Source organism: Homo sapiens, chromosome 8, assembly GCF_000001405.40.
Source record: "Homo sapiens chromosome 8, GRCh38.p14 Primary Assembly".
NCBI lineage: Eukaryota > Metazoa > Chordata > Mammalia > Primates > Hominidae > Homo > Homo sapiens.
Genome location: NC_000008.11, coordinates 13,095,688 through 13,111,335, shown reverse-complemented (window position 1 = coordinate 13,111,335; position 15,648 = coordinate 13,095,688). Strand labels below are relative to the sequence as shown.

The 15,648-nt window shown below is 43.5% G+C and overlaps 1 protein-coding gene across 23 annotated transcripts in view, besides 3 other annotated features; it reads left to right on the top strand.

Moving 5' to 3' along the window:
* Nucleotides 1–15,648, top strand: part of DLC1 (DLC1 Rho GTPase activating protein) — a 521,260-nt gene that overhangs the window by 493,285 nt on the left and 12,327 nt on the right. For 16 of the 23 annotated variants that reach the window (NM_001348081.2, NM_001413124.1, NM_182643.3 and 13 more), the window contains 4 exons: nucleotides 513–594; nucleotides 8,483–8,546; nucleotides 10,566–11,989; nucleotides 12,761–12,937. In NM_001348081.2, coding sequence (NP_001335010.1) covers nucleotides 513–594; nucleotides 8,483–8,546; nucleotides 10,566–11,989; nucleotides 12,761–12,937 — 1,747 coding nt within the window. Of the gene's footprint in view, nucleotides 1–512; nucleotides 595–4,452; nucleotides 4,690–8,482; nucleotides 8,547–10,565; nucleotides 11,990–12,760; nucleotides 12,938–15,648 lie in introns of all 23 variants that reach the window. The other 7 variants (NM_001348082.2, NM_001413128.1, NM_001348084.2 and 4 more) reach the window with 3 other exon arrangements.
* Nucleotides 2,965–3,464: an enhancer, noted in NCBI's record as "H3K27ac hESC enhancer chr8:12965381-12965880 (GRCh37/hg19 assembly coordinates)". NCBI's record gives its function as "activates a minimal SCP1, AML or CMV promoter by ChIP-STARR-seq in naive H9 embryonic stem cells {active_cell/tissue: H9 hESC(naive)}" and the evidence as "EXISTENCE:reporter gene assay evidence [ECO:0000049][PMID:30033119]".
* Nucleotides 5,533–6,179: an enhancer, noted in NCBI's record as "H3K4me1 hESC enhancer chr8:12962666-12963312 (GRCh37/hg19 assembly coordinates)". NCBI's record gives its function as "activates a minimal SCP1, AML or CMV promoter by ChIP-STARR-seq in naive H9 embryonic stem cells {active_cell/tissue: H9 hESC(naive)}" and the evidence as "EXISTENCE:reporter gene assay evidence [ECO:0000049][PMID:30033119]".
* Nucleotides 10,822–11,201: a silencer, noted in NCBI's record as "fragment chr8:12957644-12958023 (GRCh37/hg19 assembly coordinates)". NCBI's record gives its function as "represses an EF-1alpha promoter that drives an FKBP-Casp9 reporter gene in an ReSE screen in phorbol 12-myristate 13-acetate-treated (for megakaryocytic differentiation) K562 erythroleukemia cells {active_cell/tissue: K562(+PMA)}" and the evidence as "EXISTENCE:reporter gene assay evidence [ECO:0000049][PMID:32094911]".

Sequence of the window (15,648 nt, the reverse complement as noted above, 5' to 3'; positions counted from 1 at the left end):
AATTCTCCTTAGCTCTTGATGCCATGTGAGTGGATTACATTCCATTTCCTACCACTTTTCATTGTTCTCTAGATCTTTCTGTGGCTCAGTTTTCTTTCCGTGACCTTTCCCTGATCACACGTGAGCAAAGACACACACACATACACACAGCCCAGCCACATTAAAACGGAGCATTCTTCTGACAGTCTTTGTGGCTTAAATTATAATTTCTACTGGGGACTCATTGCCTGCTGATTTGTTTAAACATATAACAATGTTCTGAACCACTTCTCCTTGACCAGAAGCAATATTTTGAGTTTCCCCCACATTAAAGCCGAAGCTCCTTTAGGACAGTGATGCCCGATTGGCTTCAATTGCCTTATAGTCCCATAGAACTTGACGGGGAATGAGGTGTCCTACAGTAGGTGCTTAGTATATTGCTGAAGAGTTTTATCCCTGCTTTGGTAAACTGGGCTATTTGGCAAATTGGGTTTTAGGCGCTCAACAAATACATCTGTTTATTTTTCTCATAGATTTCCTGTTCCCCATCGATATTTCCTTGGTCAAGAGAGAGCATGATTTTTTGGACAGAGATGCCATTGAGGCTCTATGCAGGTAAATGGACACGTTTTGAGTGTTTTCCTTTTTTATTTTTTAAGAACACAGTACTTCTCACAAAGATAGGCTTTGTTTGCTTTTGTTCTTGCTAATTGTGTTAGGTTTTTATTGGCAAACCATAGAGTGATCATAGACCTTTTAATTAAAAACTAAGTAAAATATTGTTATTTAGTATTGCCATTAAAATAGCATCCACGCTGTCCTAGGAAGTACTCACACAATAGCATTCCATATTTGATATAATTGGTGTAACAAGTAACAACTCTCAGGTGGTTTGGAAACGTGGATTAAGGTTTCCTAAAAGGGTACGATGGAAATTAAGCATGTTCAGAGGAATAAATGGGGGGTGGCATATAAAGACAGGAGCATCATTTGAATTCCAAGAACGCTCCTCTCAACCTCTTCAGTTTCCCCTCGTATAAAATAATGATAGGACGAAATAAGGCTATAAAATAACTCAGCATGGTCTTTAACATATAGGCAACAGACAGTTAAATGATGAGAAATTGAATAAAACCGTCAGAAATTCTTGATCATTGTGGTTTTGGGTCTTCAAGCTGAGAGGCAGCTTATAGGTTTTAGTGAGGTGGAAGTAATAAAACCTGTAGCAGTCGATGATGGGACACTGATAATCCTTTCAAGCTCTTCAAGACATGTCTACTCATTTTAAGTTTTTCATCCTTTCTAATTTTTCTCAAAAGCTAAAATCCCTAAAAGCTGAATTCTGGGGGAAAAAAATTATACACAGACAAAACTCACATAGGTTGATTTGATTATGAAACTAAGTATTATTTTAATTTCAGGGTTTTTTTGTTTTTGTTTTTTTTGTTTCTGTTTTTGTTTCTGTTTTTTTGAGAAGGAGTTTCGCTCTTGTTGCCCAGGCTGGAGTGCAGTGGCGTGGTCTCGGCTCACTGCAACCTCCGCCTCCCAGGTTCAAGTAAATCTCCTACCTCAGCCTCCCAAGTAGCTAGGATTACAGGCGCCCACCATCACGCCCAGCTAATTTTGTGTATTTTCAGTAGAGACTGGGTTTCACCATGTTGCCAGGATGGTCTCAAATTCCTAACCTCAGGTGATCCACCCACCTCGGCCTCCCAAAGTCCAGGGATTACAGGCGTGAGCCACCGCACCCAGCCTGTTTTTTTTTTGTTCTGTTTTTTATTTTATTTTTTTTTATTTTTAAAGACAAGGTCTCACTCTGTCGCTCAGGCTGGAGTGCAGTGGCACAATCATGGTTCACTGCAGCCTTGACCTCCCAGCTACAGGTGATCCTCCCACTTCAGCCTCTGGAGTAGCTGGGACTGCAGGTGCACACCACCATACCCAGCTAATTTTTGTATTTTTTGTAGAGATGCGGTCTTGCTGTGTTGCTCAGGCTGGTCTTGAACTCCTGGGCTCAAGCAGTCATCCATCTCGGCCTCCCAAAGTGCTGGGATTACAGGAGTGAGCCACCACACCCCATCTCAGTATTTTTTTCAACTTGGAAAAACATCATGAAGGTAGAATGACACCCAGTATTTCTTTCCTCTTTGTAGGCAAGGAAAGCAGTGGTAGTTCTGTTTTCTGCCTTTCTCATATAATACAGTGTTATATGAAGCAGCCAAAGTAAGCAGTGGTTTGGGGCAGATAGATGGGATATTTAGCATAGTGTATGGACTAGACTAGTTCTCATGGTTTAAGAGAGGAAAAAACAAACAGTCCTCTTAACCACAGAAACGCTGTCACTTTTGTAGTCCAATTAAATGACTGATAGAAACGTACAGGGTGTGTACCCATTTTCTGAAAGAAACCTAATTCCAAGAACTTCACTGTGGAGTGTAATATCATTACTATATCATCGGGAATGAAACCAGATGCAGTTTCGGGAGGGGAAGGAGTCTGCATCTGGAATATGAACTACTCCAGACATTTTTTTAATGTTTTCATGCTTAGCTGTGGAGCAGAATTAATCTGTTTTCAATCCATCACTGCTGATCATGCATATGCATGAGGTCACTTCTGAGATGCATCTTAGGAAATATTTAAGCATTACATCATTTCACGCAGTTAGAGAGTGGGCACTCTGGACAGCAGCAATAGCTTAGGAATTCTTGGGTCATAAAAATATCACTGCAGCATTTCAGGCCAAAGGGTCATGATTAAATTCTTGAATGCTTTTTCAGAATATCAGTTTGAAATGTTGTTTTCCATTTCTGGGAAAAAAAGTATCCTCTGTACTTTGCAATTTACACTGGCTCTGAGTACCTTTTGAGAAGCCACCTTTCTCTGAAGCGAATAAGTCTGTGCTGCTAGATCTTTGGTGAAAAGAAAAGCCTAGAAGAAGCAGACTCTGCCACATATGCTAGTTGGGCTTCAGTTTTCTCTCCTGCATAGAATAACATCTTATAGGAAATGCAGTGATGGATGTCAGAGCGCTTTAAAAATTAAATTATCAGGCCCCAATTTGAGTATGTGCAGAAAGGCCTAGGGTTGGATTTTCTTTTTTAAAAAAGGAAATTCTTCAGAGTTCACAGTAATAGTCATCAACTGGTTTGTAATGGAAAACCCCAGGGCTCTTGTCCACATGTCCACATAAATGGACTTTTCATGAAAATGATGCCCCTTTCGAGAGGCCTAAACAAATGTTCAGAAGAAAAGGGACCTCTATCGGGTGTATTTCAAGCAGCTTCCTTTATTTTATTTTTTTATTTTTTTGAGATGGAGTCTCACTCTGTCGCTCAGGCTGGAGTACAGTGGCGTGATCTCGGCTCACTGCAACCTCCGCCTCCCAGGTTCAAGCAATTCTCTGCCTCAGCCCCCTGAATAGCTGGGATTACAGGCACCCACCACCACGCCCAGCTAATTTTTTGTATTTTTTTAGTAGAGATGGGGTTTCACCATACTGGCCAGGCTGGTCTTGAACTCCTGATCCACCTGCCTTGGGCTCCCAAAGGGCTGGGGATTACAGGCGTGAGCCACCGCGACCAGCCAGCAACTTTCTTTAAAACGTAGTACAAGTTCTGAGCTGTCAGCTGCATAGTGTAGTTGAGATAGTTGTTGTACTGATTATGTGATAGTCACTTCATTTGCTAGACCTGCCTCTTCCAAATACCTTCTTGGCCTATGGAATTCAAGGGCCAGCAAATAACGAAGCTCCAGTATTATTTGAAATTTTGCCCTGTGATTTAGAAGTTCTCTCTAGACTGACAGACTTTTTATAGACTTTTGTCTTTGCCTTGTTGATATTTTCTGAACAGTTGATTTTAAATACATGTGGTAATATGGTTGCAGAAATTCAGCTTAAACATTTTACAAAATCTTTCCCACCTACCTCCTCCCCTTGTACTGGACCATATTTTATGCAGGGATCTTATAAGTGATCTCGTATTTACTCTAGCATTATTCTTAGTTTAGAGTGTTCATGTACCTGTGACATTTACAGATCTTACAGCTCCTTTGGTCAAGAAGTAAGTAGGAGCTTCTTTTTCTACTCAGGGCAAGAAGACTTGTAGAGTTAGTGGGTTTTATGAGAACAATGACATAGTCTTAAATATAAAGTTTGGCAATAACCAAAAGTTACAAGTGTGGGACTATAGATTTTTTGGATTTAGATTGCTAACCAGCATTTTTACATTCACACTGCAAGGGGTTCATGTGTCTGTTCCCTTGGAGAAACGGCTTTGGCCTGATCTTGCTAGCTTTACTATATAATGCAATTCCAATGATAAGGCCAATATTATGAGAGCTATACTCAATGGTAATCCTGGAGGAGTGATTCGCTTTGTCTTGAAGCATGTGCACGTAGTATTGTGAACTGTGATTCACTACGAGGATACCTCTTGTGAAATGTTCTTTCTATTGCTTGCCTTCCTACAGCTTCTGAAAACTATTCCAAATTGCTATTTTCCTTTGGAATTAAAAATGACTCCTTCTATAAACACAGCAAAGAAGTATGTACATCAAGTGACAGTTGTATAATGAAAAATAGATTTCCACACTGTCACCTGCAGTATTCACTTTGTTGTAAAGCAGTCCATCAGATGCCTGAGCCATGCAAAGCAGCCCACCTTAGAGCAGATTTTAACTTTGTCACAATTTCTGGTCTGTTAAAAGGTAAGCACGTAGCCGGGCACAGTGGCTCAACAATTTGGGAGGCCAAGATGGGAGGATCCCTTGAGCCTCCAGGAGTTGGAGACCATCCTGGGAAACATGGCAAGACCCCATTTCTATAATAAAGAACAAAAATTAGCCAGGCATGATGGTGCATACCTGTAGTCCCAGCTACTTGGGAGGCTGAGGCGGGAGGATCCTGTGAGCCCAGGAGGTCCAGGCTCCAATGTGCCATGATAGCACCATTGCATTCCAACCTGAGTGACCCTGTCTCAAAAAGAAAAGAAAAGGCTGGGAGTAGCATGTAATTTTTTAAAGCAATTGCACAGATTCCAAGAAAATATCTTTAAGAATTGTAACCATTTTTATTTGTGAGAGTCTTACTTGGAAAATTGTATCTTTCCCCCTTCTCCCTCTTCTCTTCTTTGTTTTTGGCTTGTTTTTACTTTTAATACAATGGGGCCCAGGTCCCCACCTGCTGTGCTTTTATCTGGGTTCCTGCAGCTCCATGCAGAGAAGCTCTTGAACCTCTGATAGGCCAGCCTTGCACTCCTCCCTCTTCAGAGCAGGGTAGAAGTTGCCCAGGAGATAAGAGGGACACATTCCTGTGGAGCCCAGCCTGGGAGGGTCCTTAGGGGGATGGGAAAGGCCCAGGCTTCTGGACGGATGGGTTACGCCCAGCATATCAGCCACTGTGTGAGGAATCCCTTAGGATATAAGTTGCTTTCATTTATTACTACCATTAATATTTATATTAGAAAGGAACACAGATTGCCGGGTGCAGTGGCTCATGCCTGTGATCCTAGCACTTTGGGAGGCCGAGATGAGCGGATTGCCTGAGCTCAGGAGGTCGAGACCAGCCGGGCAACATGGCAAACCCCCACTTCTACTAAAAATACAAAAAATTAGCTGGGCCTGGTGGCGGGCACCTGTAGTCCCAGCTGCTCAGGAGGCTGAGGCATGAGAATTGCTTGAAACGGGGAGGCGGAGGTTGCAGTGAGCCACTGCACTCCAGCCTGGGCAATAGAGCAAGACTGTCTCCAAAAAAAAAAAAAAAGAAGAAAAAGAAAGGAACCTAGAAGTTACTGGGTTTGAGAGCCACCATGTTTTAATCGTGTGGACTTAGACAAGATCTGTGACCTCCCTGAGCCCCATTTCCTCATCTGTAAAATCTAGGTTAATCATAATATCTGTACCATAGGGTCGTTGGGAAGATGAAGTCATATATAGGAAGTGCCTAGCATAGTGCCTGGCCCGCAGTAGGCCTCGTTTGTGTAGCTGGAACTATGATTTGATATCAGTACTGTCTCTGTAAGGAAATAAGGTCCCAGCAGAGTACATTCTTTGGGGGTCCTCCAGGACAAATGAAAACCACAGAAACCCTAGGGTATAACTCTGGGCTTTAGGTCTGTAATGCCATTAGCTGGGTGCTACCAACATAAAAAGGTAATGTTGACCTTTATAGAACTGGCCTCCTGGGTCTTTTTAGTTTGACTAAAATCTGGAGTTTGTGAGGCTAAACCCCTCTCCAGCCCCATAGGCCTCTGGCTAGTAAATTTGGTTATAAACACCATTCAACCATTAAAGCCCAAATGAAGTCAAGTGACTATTTGATTACAGGTTTGATTAATGGAACCCAGACCTAAGACTAACTGTAACCATTCCGGATTCTTTAAATCTTGAAAGCATTTGAGAACTAAAACACTGTGGGTGTAAGTCATTTAAGTAATTGATACCCCCAATAGAGGGACCTTATATCCACTCATTTTAAAGTGTGCAGACTTTTTCTTAGTTATTTGTTTTCTTTTCTTCCCCATCAACAGAGAGAACTTTTCTGAACCTAGGCGCTCTGGGCTATCTTTATTTATTCTATAAACAGGCTACCACCTAAGGTATGAAGGCAAAATCGGGCTTATCAGGCAGGCAAAAATGCTTTCTATTCTGTTGCATCAACATTGTTAGGCAAACAGCAAGAACAGGATCAGGAAGATAAAGCCCTGAGGAGGTCTCACGGTTCCCAGGAATTTGTGTGAATTAAATGATCTGATCTTATGAAAATGTAGAATTGCAATTCGTAGGAAAAACTAGAAAACTGGTGATAGCAGATGGCAAACAGACACATTACAGGTTCATTTGAGGAAGACTAAGTGATGATCATCTGGGAGATGGCAGGAAAATTGGGGCCTTGAAGGGCTGTCATTCATAGTTGTACATACCGTTTAGTTCAGCATATTTAAAGTGTTTCTTTTTTCAACTGTTGCATTATTTCTCCATGAGGTTTTGGGTTTTTTTTTTTTTTGTAAGTATTTTATTTTCAACGAAACTAAATTTCCCTAATTTTAAATTGATATTGCTGTTTGGCAGAGGTGAAAGTATTGGTATCAAAATGACAATAGGATGGCTGTTGCAAAAAGAGTCTTACCTGAGTGCTTAATTTTGAACCCGGTAAGATTTGGATCCTTGAAGTTACAGTACGCAAATTCTTTAAATGATCATTTGCCGTGACTATAGCACACATTATATTGTCCTATAACAGGAAGCTGTTCTAAATATTGGATATTAAAGAGGGCTTCAATTTCCATTCTGTGCAAGGACTCTAAAATTTTAGACAGGCTGTCCAAGATTATGATTCATCGGAGATAACTAAAACTAATTTTTTAAATTTGAGTTTTGATTTCAAATACAAGACACTGTTTATTTTGCCAAAAACTCTACTTGGTTCTTTGTTGCTGTTTTGCTGTTTCTATTTCTATGAAAGGAGACATCACAAACTTTTCTTTTCTTTCTTTCTTTTTTTTTTTTTTTTTTTTGAGATGGAGTCTGGCTCTTTTGCCCAGGCTGGAGTGCAGTGGCACAATCTCAGCTCACTACAACCTTCACCTCCCAGGTTCAAGCGATTCTTCCTGCCACAGCCTCCCGAGTAGCTGGCATTACAGGCACCCACGACCATGCCCAGCTAATTTTTGCATTTTTAGTAGAGTTGGGGTTTCGCCATGTTGGACAGGCTGGTCTCAAACTCCTGACTTCAGGTGATCTGCCTGCCTCGGCCTCCCAAAGTGCTGGGATTACAGGCATGAGCCACCGTGCCGAGTCACAAACTTTTCTTTCTTGGCTCCATGTGCGGCAGTCCATAATGGCTCAACCTAAGAGTTATTGGAAGAATGATTTTTCTTAGTAAGAACAACTCATTGAGAGTTGAAGAATCAGAGAGACTTGACAGTATCATAGCTGTGTGCCATTTCACACTAAAATATAAAAATTAAAGTGAAAAACTTACAAAACATAAAGGTATTTATTTATTTATTTATTTATTTATTTATTTATTTATTTATTTATTTTGAGAAGGAGTCTCACTCTGTCGCCCAGGCTGGAGTGCAGTGGCGCTATCTTGGCTCACTGCAATCTCCGCCTCCCGGGTTCACGCCATTCTCCTGCCTCAGCCTCCTGAGTAGCTGGGACTACAGGCGCCCACCACCAGGCCCGGCTTGTTTTTTTGTATTTTTAGTAGAGACGGGGTTTCACCGTGTTAGCCAGGATGGTCTCGCTCTCCTGACCTCGTGATCCACCCGCCTAGGCCTCCCAAAGTGCTGGGATTACAGGCGTGAGCCACCACGCCCGGCCAAGGTATTTTTAAATGACTCACTTTTTAAATAAGTTTCTAATACTCCTCTAGGTATTAGGTATTACTGAGTTTCAAGAAACTCCTTAAATATATGAATTGTTTAAAAACAGGTGTTTATCCACTCATTAGAGAGTGGTTGCCTATCTTTGCTAACGTTATTTCTTTGCTCTATAGGCGTCTAAATACTTTAAACAAATGTGCGGTGATGAAGCTAGAAATTAGTCCTCATCGGAAACGAGTGAGTATACAAATTGCATAATAGAATGAGGGGGAAAAGGGGCAAACAAAAAAGTGAATGATGTGTTTTGTAATAGGTTTTGTTTCTCCAACTCTTAGTTTGTTGTTCCGTAAGCATCTACATCTTGAATGATATCGCCTAGACTTGATAGCCTTATGTAGTTGAAGCCAATAGTTGCAACTAGTCCATTACATTATTTTATCTATTGTTTTTGACCTGATCACATCAGCTATTATTTTGCCTAATTACTAACTCAATGCCTATTACATAATAAAGGGATCATGCTTAAGGAATCCCAGTGGATTTTTGCATTGCTCATAGAGGAAATAAACTGAGGTTTATTTCCAACTCTTCTGTCTTCCCAAATATAACAATAACTGTGCTTCAAAGCTGTAGAGATGAAAGCGAAGGCCGATTTGTGCAATATTGAAGAATAATAAGAGATTTGGAGGGAGGAAAGGAATTGGAAGAGGAAGAGGAGAAGGCAGGAGATCCCACACAGTTTAGTCAAATGGTGGTACACAACCGAGCTGGATGGTATTTTCTTCTGCGTGTGAGTTGTGAAGACTTTTTATGAGATCTTAGGAGAAGAGGTGGGTGTAGTACTGGGAGTAAGTGTCACAAATTAGAGTAAACAGGAATGAGTCTGGTCAAAGAACATATTTCTGACTTCCGGGTTCAAATTTTAATTATGCCAGAATCCCTGAGCTGCAAAAAGTTGCCTTCTTGGGGAGTCAAAGCTTTTAAACAAATGAACTGGAACCTCAGCGCCCACTGAGCTATGCAGAAGAGTCCTAGAAGCCAGCGCTCCATGCTTGCCACTCATTGTCCTGTGAAACTTGGGCCACAGGATATTTTCCACACCAGTGGAAAAGACATGTATCATACCGAATTGTGCCCTTTGATATCCTGCCGAAAAGGCCAAGATGCAATAGTCCGTGTGACAGCTTATCCCTGAGTCCTGTACATAAATCGGGCATAATCAGCAAAGACGTTCCTTAGTGTTTATGAATGCCGCGAGCTGTCAGGGCTGGGTATTTGTGAAGCCTTGTTCAATTGGCTGGAGCATGACTGAGGTTGAAACTTCACAGGTCAGCTGTGGCCTGAGCGCTAGCCTTCATGTCTTGTGGGGGAGGGGAAGAAAAGGTACTGGTAAGAGTCTCCAAAGCACTGATAGTGGACTGAATCTGCTTGATGACCCACCTTGATCCAGGGCCCCTTTACTCCAGTGGGAGACCTTATACATTTTTAGTGTCTAGAGATTTAAGTTGCCACTCTTCTTAGTGTTTGAAAACTACCTTTTTAATTGCAAGAGGGAATATAAACATACACCAACAAAAGACAGCACAATGGAAGGCAGCCCAGAGGCAGTCCTGCTCATTGCTGACTTCAGTTCAAAATATTTTGCATGCCTGGAATTTTCACCATCTCAGAGGTTTCCTCTATGAGCAATTAAAGAACAGCCTATGGATCCCAGAGTTTCCATAAAATAGTTCTTATTTAACTTGCAACATTTGGTCAGGCACTCTCCTGTTAAATTCTTTAAATACATCTTTGTTATTTAAAGAACAAAACAAAACACCGGGCACTGTGGCTCATGCCTGTAATCCCAACACTTTGGGAAGCCCACGTGGGAGGATCGCTTGAGGCCAGGAGTTTGAGACCAGCCTAGGCAGCATAGTAAGACTACTGCTCTCTACAAAAAATTTAAAAAAGAAAAAGAATATGTAAGTGGGGCTGGGCACAGTAGCTTATCCCTGTCACCGCAGCACTTTGGGAGGCTCAGGTGGGAGGATCACTTGAGGTCAGCAGTTCAGAATCAGCCTGGGCAATACAGCCTGTACAACAGAGTGAGACCCTATTTTTAAAAAAAAAAAAAAAAAAACTTTAAAATTAAAATCATGAAGTACAAGGGGGAAATTGATACTACTGGCATATTATGAGCAGCCTCCTGCTCATGCCCTGCTCCCTGCTGGCTGCCAGCCCCAGTGTGTGAATGGCTCCTTTCTGTCTTTGCAGAGTGACGATTCAGACGAGGATGAGCCTTGTGCCATCAGTGGCAAATGGACTTTCCAAAGGGACAGCAAGAGGTGGTCCCGGCTTGAAGAGTTTGATGTCTTTTCTCCAAAACAAGACCTGGTCCCTGGGTCCCCAGACGACTCCCACCCGAAGGACGGCCCCAGCCCCGGAGGCACGCTGATGGACCTCAGCGAGCGCCAGGAGGTGTCTTCCGTCCGCAGCCTCAGCAGCACTGGCAGCCTCCCCAGCCACGCGCCCCCCAGCGAGGATGCTGCCACCCCCCGGACTAACTCCGTCATCAGCGTTTGCTCCTCCAGCAACTTGGCAGGCAATGACGACTCTTTCGGCAGCCTGCCCTCTCCCAAGGAACTGTCCAGCTTCAGCTTCAGCATGAAAGGCCACGAAAAAACTGCCAAGTCCAAGACGCGCAGTCTGCTGAAACGGATGGAGAGCCTGAAGCTCAAGAGCTCCCATCACAGCAAGCACAAAGCGCCCTCAAAGCTGGGGTTGATCATCAGCGGGCCCATCTTGCAAGAGGGGATGGATGAGGAGAAGCTGAAGCAGCTCAACTGCGTGGAGATCTCCGCCCTCAATGGCAACCGCATCAACGTCCCCATGGTACGAAAGAGGAGCGTTTCCAACTCCACGCAGACCAGCAGCAGCAGCAGCCAGTCGGAGACCAGCAGCGCGGTCAGCACGCCCAGCCCTGTTACGAGGACCCGGAGCCTCAGTGCGTGCAACAAGCGGGTGGGCATGTACTTAGAGGGCTTCGATCCTTTCAATCAGTCAACATTTAACAACGTGGTGGAGCAGAACTTTAAGAACCGCGAGAGCTACCCAGAGGACACGGTGTTCTACATCCCTGAAGATCACAAGCCTGGCACTTTCCCCAAAGCTCTCACCAATGGCAGTTTCTCCCCCTCGGGGAATAACGGCTCTGTGAACTGGAGGACGGGAAGCTTCCACGGCCCTGGCCACATCAGCCTCAGGAGGGAAAACAGTAGCGACAGCCCCAAGGAACTGAAGAGACGCAATTCTTCCAGCTCCATGAGCAGCCGCCTGAGCATCTACGACAACGTGCCGGGCTCCATCCTCTACTCCAGTTCAGGGGACCTGGCGGATCTGGAGAACGAGGACATCTTCCCCGAGCTGGACGACATCCTCTACCACGTGAAGGGGATGCAGCGGATAGTCAATCAGTGGTCGGAGAAGTTTTCTGATGAGGGAGATTCGGACTCAGCCCTGGACTCGGTCTCTCCCTGCCCGTCCTCTCCAAAACAGATACACCTGGATGTGGACAACGACCGAACCACACCCAGCGACCTGGACAGCACAGGCAACTCCCTGAATGAACCGGAAGAGCCCTCCGAGATCCCGGAAAGAAGGGATTCTGGGGTTGGGGCTTCCCTAACCAGGTCCAACAGGTAAGAACTTTTCTCCTGCCTCCGGGTGTGGGGCACTGGGGGTCAGAAAGACATTGCCTGTGCTTGTTCTGTGGGAAGAAATGGGATTAAGTCTGGCATTCTTAGCCATGTCCATTCCTAAGGAAGGTGTCAAACCAGGAAGCACCAAAATTCAAAGAAATCGATAGGATTGAATGGGTATAGAGTTCCGGTTGGGGAAGATGAAAAAAGTTCTGGAGATGGTTGGCAGAGATGGTCACACAATGAGAATGAACTTGGTGCCACTCAACTGCACATTTAAAAATGGTGAAAATGGTGCACTTTATATTGTGTATATTTTCCCATAATGGGGATTAAAGCATGGGATAGAAATCAAGTCCTATCAGTTCCTAAGATAAGATGCCAGCAAGCAGCCCATTGCTAATGTTGCTTCTACCTATTAAAAAGCCTTTGGGCCAGGCACAGTGGCTCACACTTGTAATCCAATACTTTGGGAGGCCGAGGTGGGAGGATCACTTGAGGCCAAGAGTTTGAGACCAAGCTGGACAACATAGGGAGACTCTATCTCTACAAAAAATTAAAAAATGAGTCAGATGTGGTGGCACAGGCCTACAGTCCTGGCTACTCAGGAGGCTGAGGCAGGAGGATCACTTGAGCTGAGGAGTTCAAGGCTGCAGTGAGCTGTGATGGCACCACTGCACTCCAGCCTGGGCAACAGAGCAAGAAAAAATAAAATAAATAAAATCAAATAAAAAGGCTTCACACTCATTTTCCTCTCCTCTTCTCTCGCAGGCACCGACTGAGATGGCACAGTTTCCAGAGCTCACATCGGCCAAGCCTCAACTCTGTATCACTACAGATTAACTGCCAGTCTGTGGCCCAGATGAACCTGCTGCAGAAATACTCACTCCTAAAGCTAACGGCCCTGCTGGAGAAATACACACCTTCTAACAAGCATGGTTTTAGCTGGTAAGAGTTTAAATGATCAGTCAACTGTCGTTGAAAATGATATTTTTGGTCAGTTCCTTGAGGTTGTCCCCACAGTAAAAAATGACACTTCTCTCCTTTATTAATATATTTCATCTGTCATCCTATGGCAATCACTCTCTGCATTTTTGTTTGTTTGTTTGTTTGTTTTGAGACAGGGTCTTGCTCTGTTACGTAGGCTGGAGTGCGGTGCAGTGGTGCGATCTCGGCTCACTGCAGCCTTGACCTTCTGGGCTCTAGCGATTCTCCCACCTGAGGCTCCAGAGTGGCTGGACTCCTGAGTAGGTGGGACTACAGTTGCTTTCCACCACACCCGGCTAGCTTTTTTTTTTTTTTTTTTTTTTTTCTTTTTTCCTTTTTGAAGAGATGGGGTTTCACCGTGTTAACTAGGCTGGTCTGGAATTCCTGGGCTCAAGAGATCCACCTGCCTCGGCCTCCCAAGTTGCTGGAATTACAGGCGTGAGCCACCACGCCAGCCACTCTCTATATTCTTGAGGCCACATTTGATATTGTTGAAGCCAGTGGAGTCTTAGGAAATTATCAGCGTGGGTGGGTTGATTGAGTTTTCAGCTCTTTGAGTGACAGATTGCCAGTTGATGGGGTGAGAATGCATTACTCTTGCATCACGTGGTATAGGCACCTCCTTCCCAATATTAAGAATAATCCACTATAAGTAAATGTATGCACAGTATCAGATCGTATTTTTGGATGGAGGAAAAGGAAAACAATAAGATTTAATGAGACCATCTTTGAAATTCTTGATTTACAGTACCTGGTCTTATAACCGTATTCATGCCTGTTTTTAGAAATCATTTTGGGGCGGGTGTGGTGGCTCATGCCTGTAATCCCAGCATTTTGGGAATCTGACATAGGTGGATCACATGACGCCAGGAGTTTGAGACCAGCCTGGCCAACATGGCGAAACCCCATCTCTACTAAAAATACAAAAATTAGCTGAGTGTGGTGGCATGCACCTGTAATCCCATCTACTCAGGAAGCTGAGGCATGAGAATCCCTTGAACCCAGAAGATGGAGGTTGCAGTGAGCCCCAAGATAAGGCTACTGCACTCCAGCCTGGGTGACAGAGTAAGACTCTATCTCAAAAAATAATAATAATAATAATAATAATAAATTTGGATGTGAATATTTGTAGCATCCACCTGTGCTAAAGAATTCAGGTTACTTTTTTTCTAGCAAAGACTGTCTAACAGTGAATAATTATTTTAAGGAATTCACTACTCTAACATATTATAGACTCAAATGTAGAGATGAAATGCATTGTACAAATTGTTCATAATTACTTTGAAAAATATAGCTCCTTAGTATATAGAATGTGAGGGGTAGGCTGTAAGGCTAGATGGGTCATGGATATCACCTAATCTGGGTACATCTTAATTTTTCTGCTATCAGTGCCAAGCAGAGAAATGTTTCTAGATTGACATCTCAGTGCATTTTTCAGTGTCATCTGGGAATCCTTAAGTCTTTTCAGTAATCTGAGTGTTTATTATCCAGTCGCACACTACCATATTTGATAAAAATGGAGAAGCCGCCCATTTCATTAGTAGCACTCTGTAGCAAACCCAAGTTGCTTGAGAAAGTCGGCAAAGCAAGGAAACTGTTCTTTTTGTCTCCAGCTCCTCCTCTCCTTAGGACTCATAGCAGATTTAACTTCAGCATCAAAGCACCTCCCGTTCAAAGGCTGTTATTATGTGAGCCTTGCTAAATACAGAAGTTGTTTGTTCTGAATGACAGAAATAAGTATTGACCGGTTTATCCTCACATGCTTCAGATTCTCGGTGGGGATCGTAATGTGTTCTTTTCACATTCCGCCGTCGGGCTTTTCTCCCCCGACAAAGCGAGTATTATGCACACTTATAGCCATGATACCACACACTTAACTGTATGGAAATACAAACTTAACTTTGCTCTTTCGTTTTACCTTTCCTGGAGCTATAAACAGTAACATGCCATGGCTGCTGGTGAGCATTCAAAAGGCAAAGCAGTCTGTCTTCTCTGGAGTTCCTCTGTGCTTAGAGTAATATTTTCCCTGCTGGCTATTTAAAACTGCATATTTTAGATTCTCATTTCGGAGTGGCCCACCCCCATCCCACCAAACCCTCAAGAATCTGAAAGTCCATAATACTTCTTGAGTTCTGGTCAGTGTTTCCAGTGACTCAAAACCAACTGTAAAAGCCTCACATGGTGGGATCTGTGGAGCAGGGAGGAATCCTACACAAGGTTCTTTTCCTGTTTGGCCTTGCCCTTTCGGGTCCTGTTCAGAGAGGTCATTTGGAGAGCTGGAATTTCTGCTTGACAGCCTGAAATGCATGACATGGGTTTCCTGCTGTTGCATATAGTGCTGGGGTGGACCTGGTTTCAGGACACCAGGGAGCCTGGGGTCGGCTCACAAAACCCCCATTGTTCCTTTTCCATCTTCCTTTAGAAACCTAAAGATGTAATGTTCTCCGGGTCATCAGCAGCAGATTTTATTTTGACTTCAGGTCATTCACTGTTGAGCTCTGGAGTTGGCTCCCATTGTGTTAGGCTCTCATTGCTGTTTTCCCATCATGTGTTATCTGCGCCTTTTGACCCTAAATGCTTTCGATCTCATCAAGAACTCAGAAGTGATTCTTACCCTTTTTTCAAGACAAAAGGGACCTTGTTTTTCACACTCTATCAGATGCACCTAATTA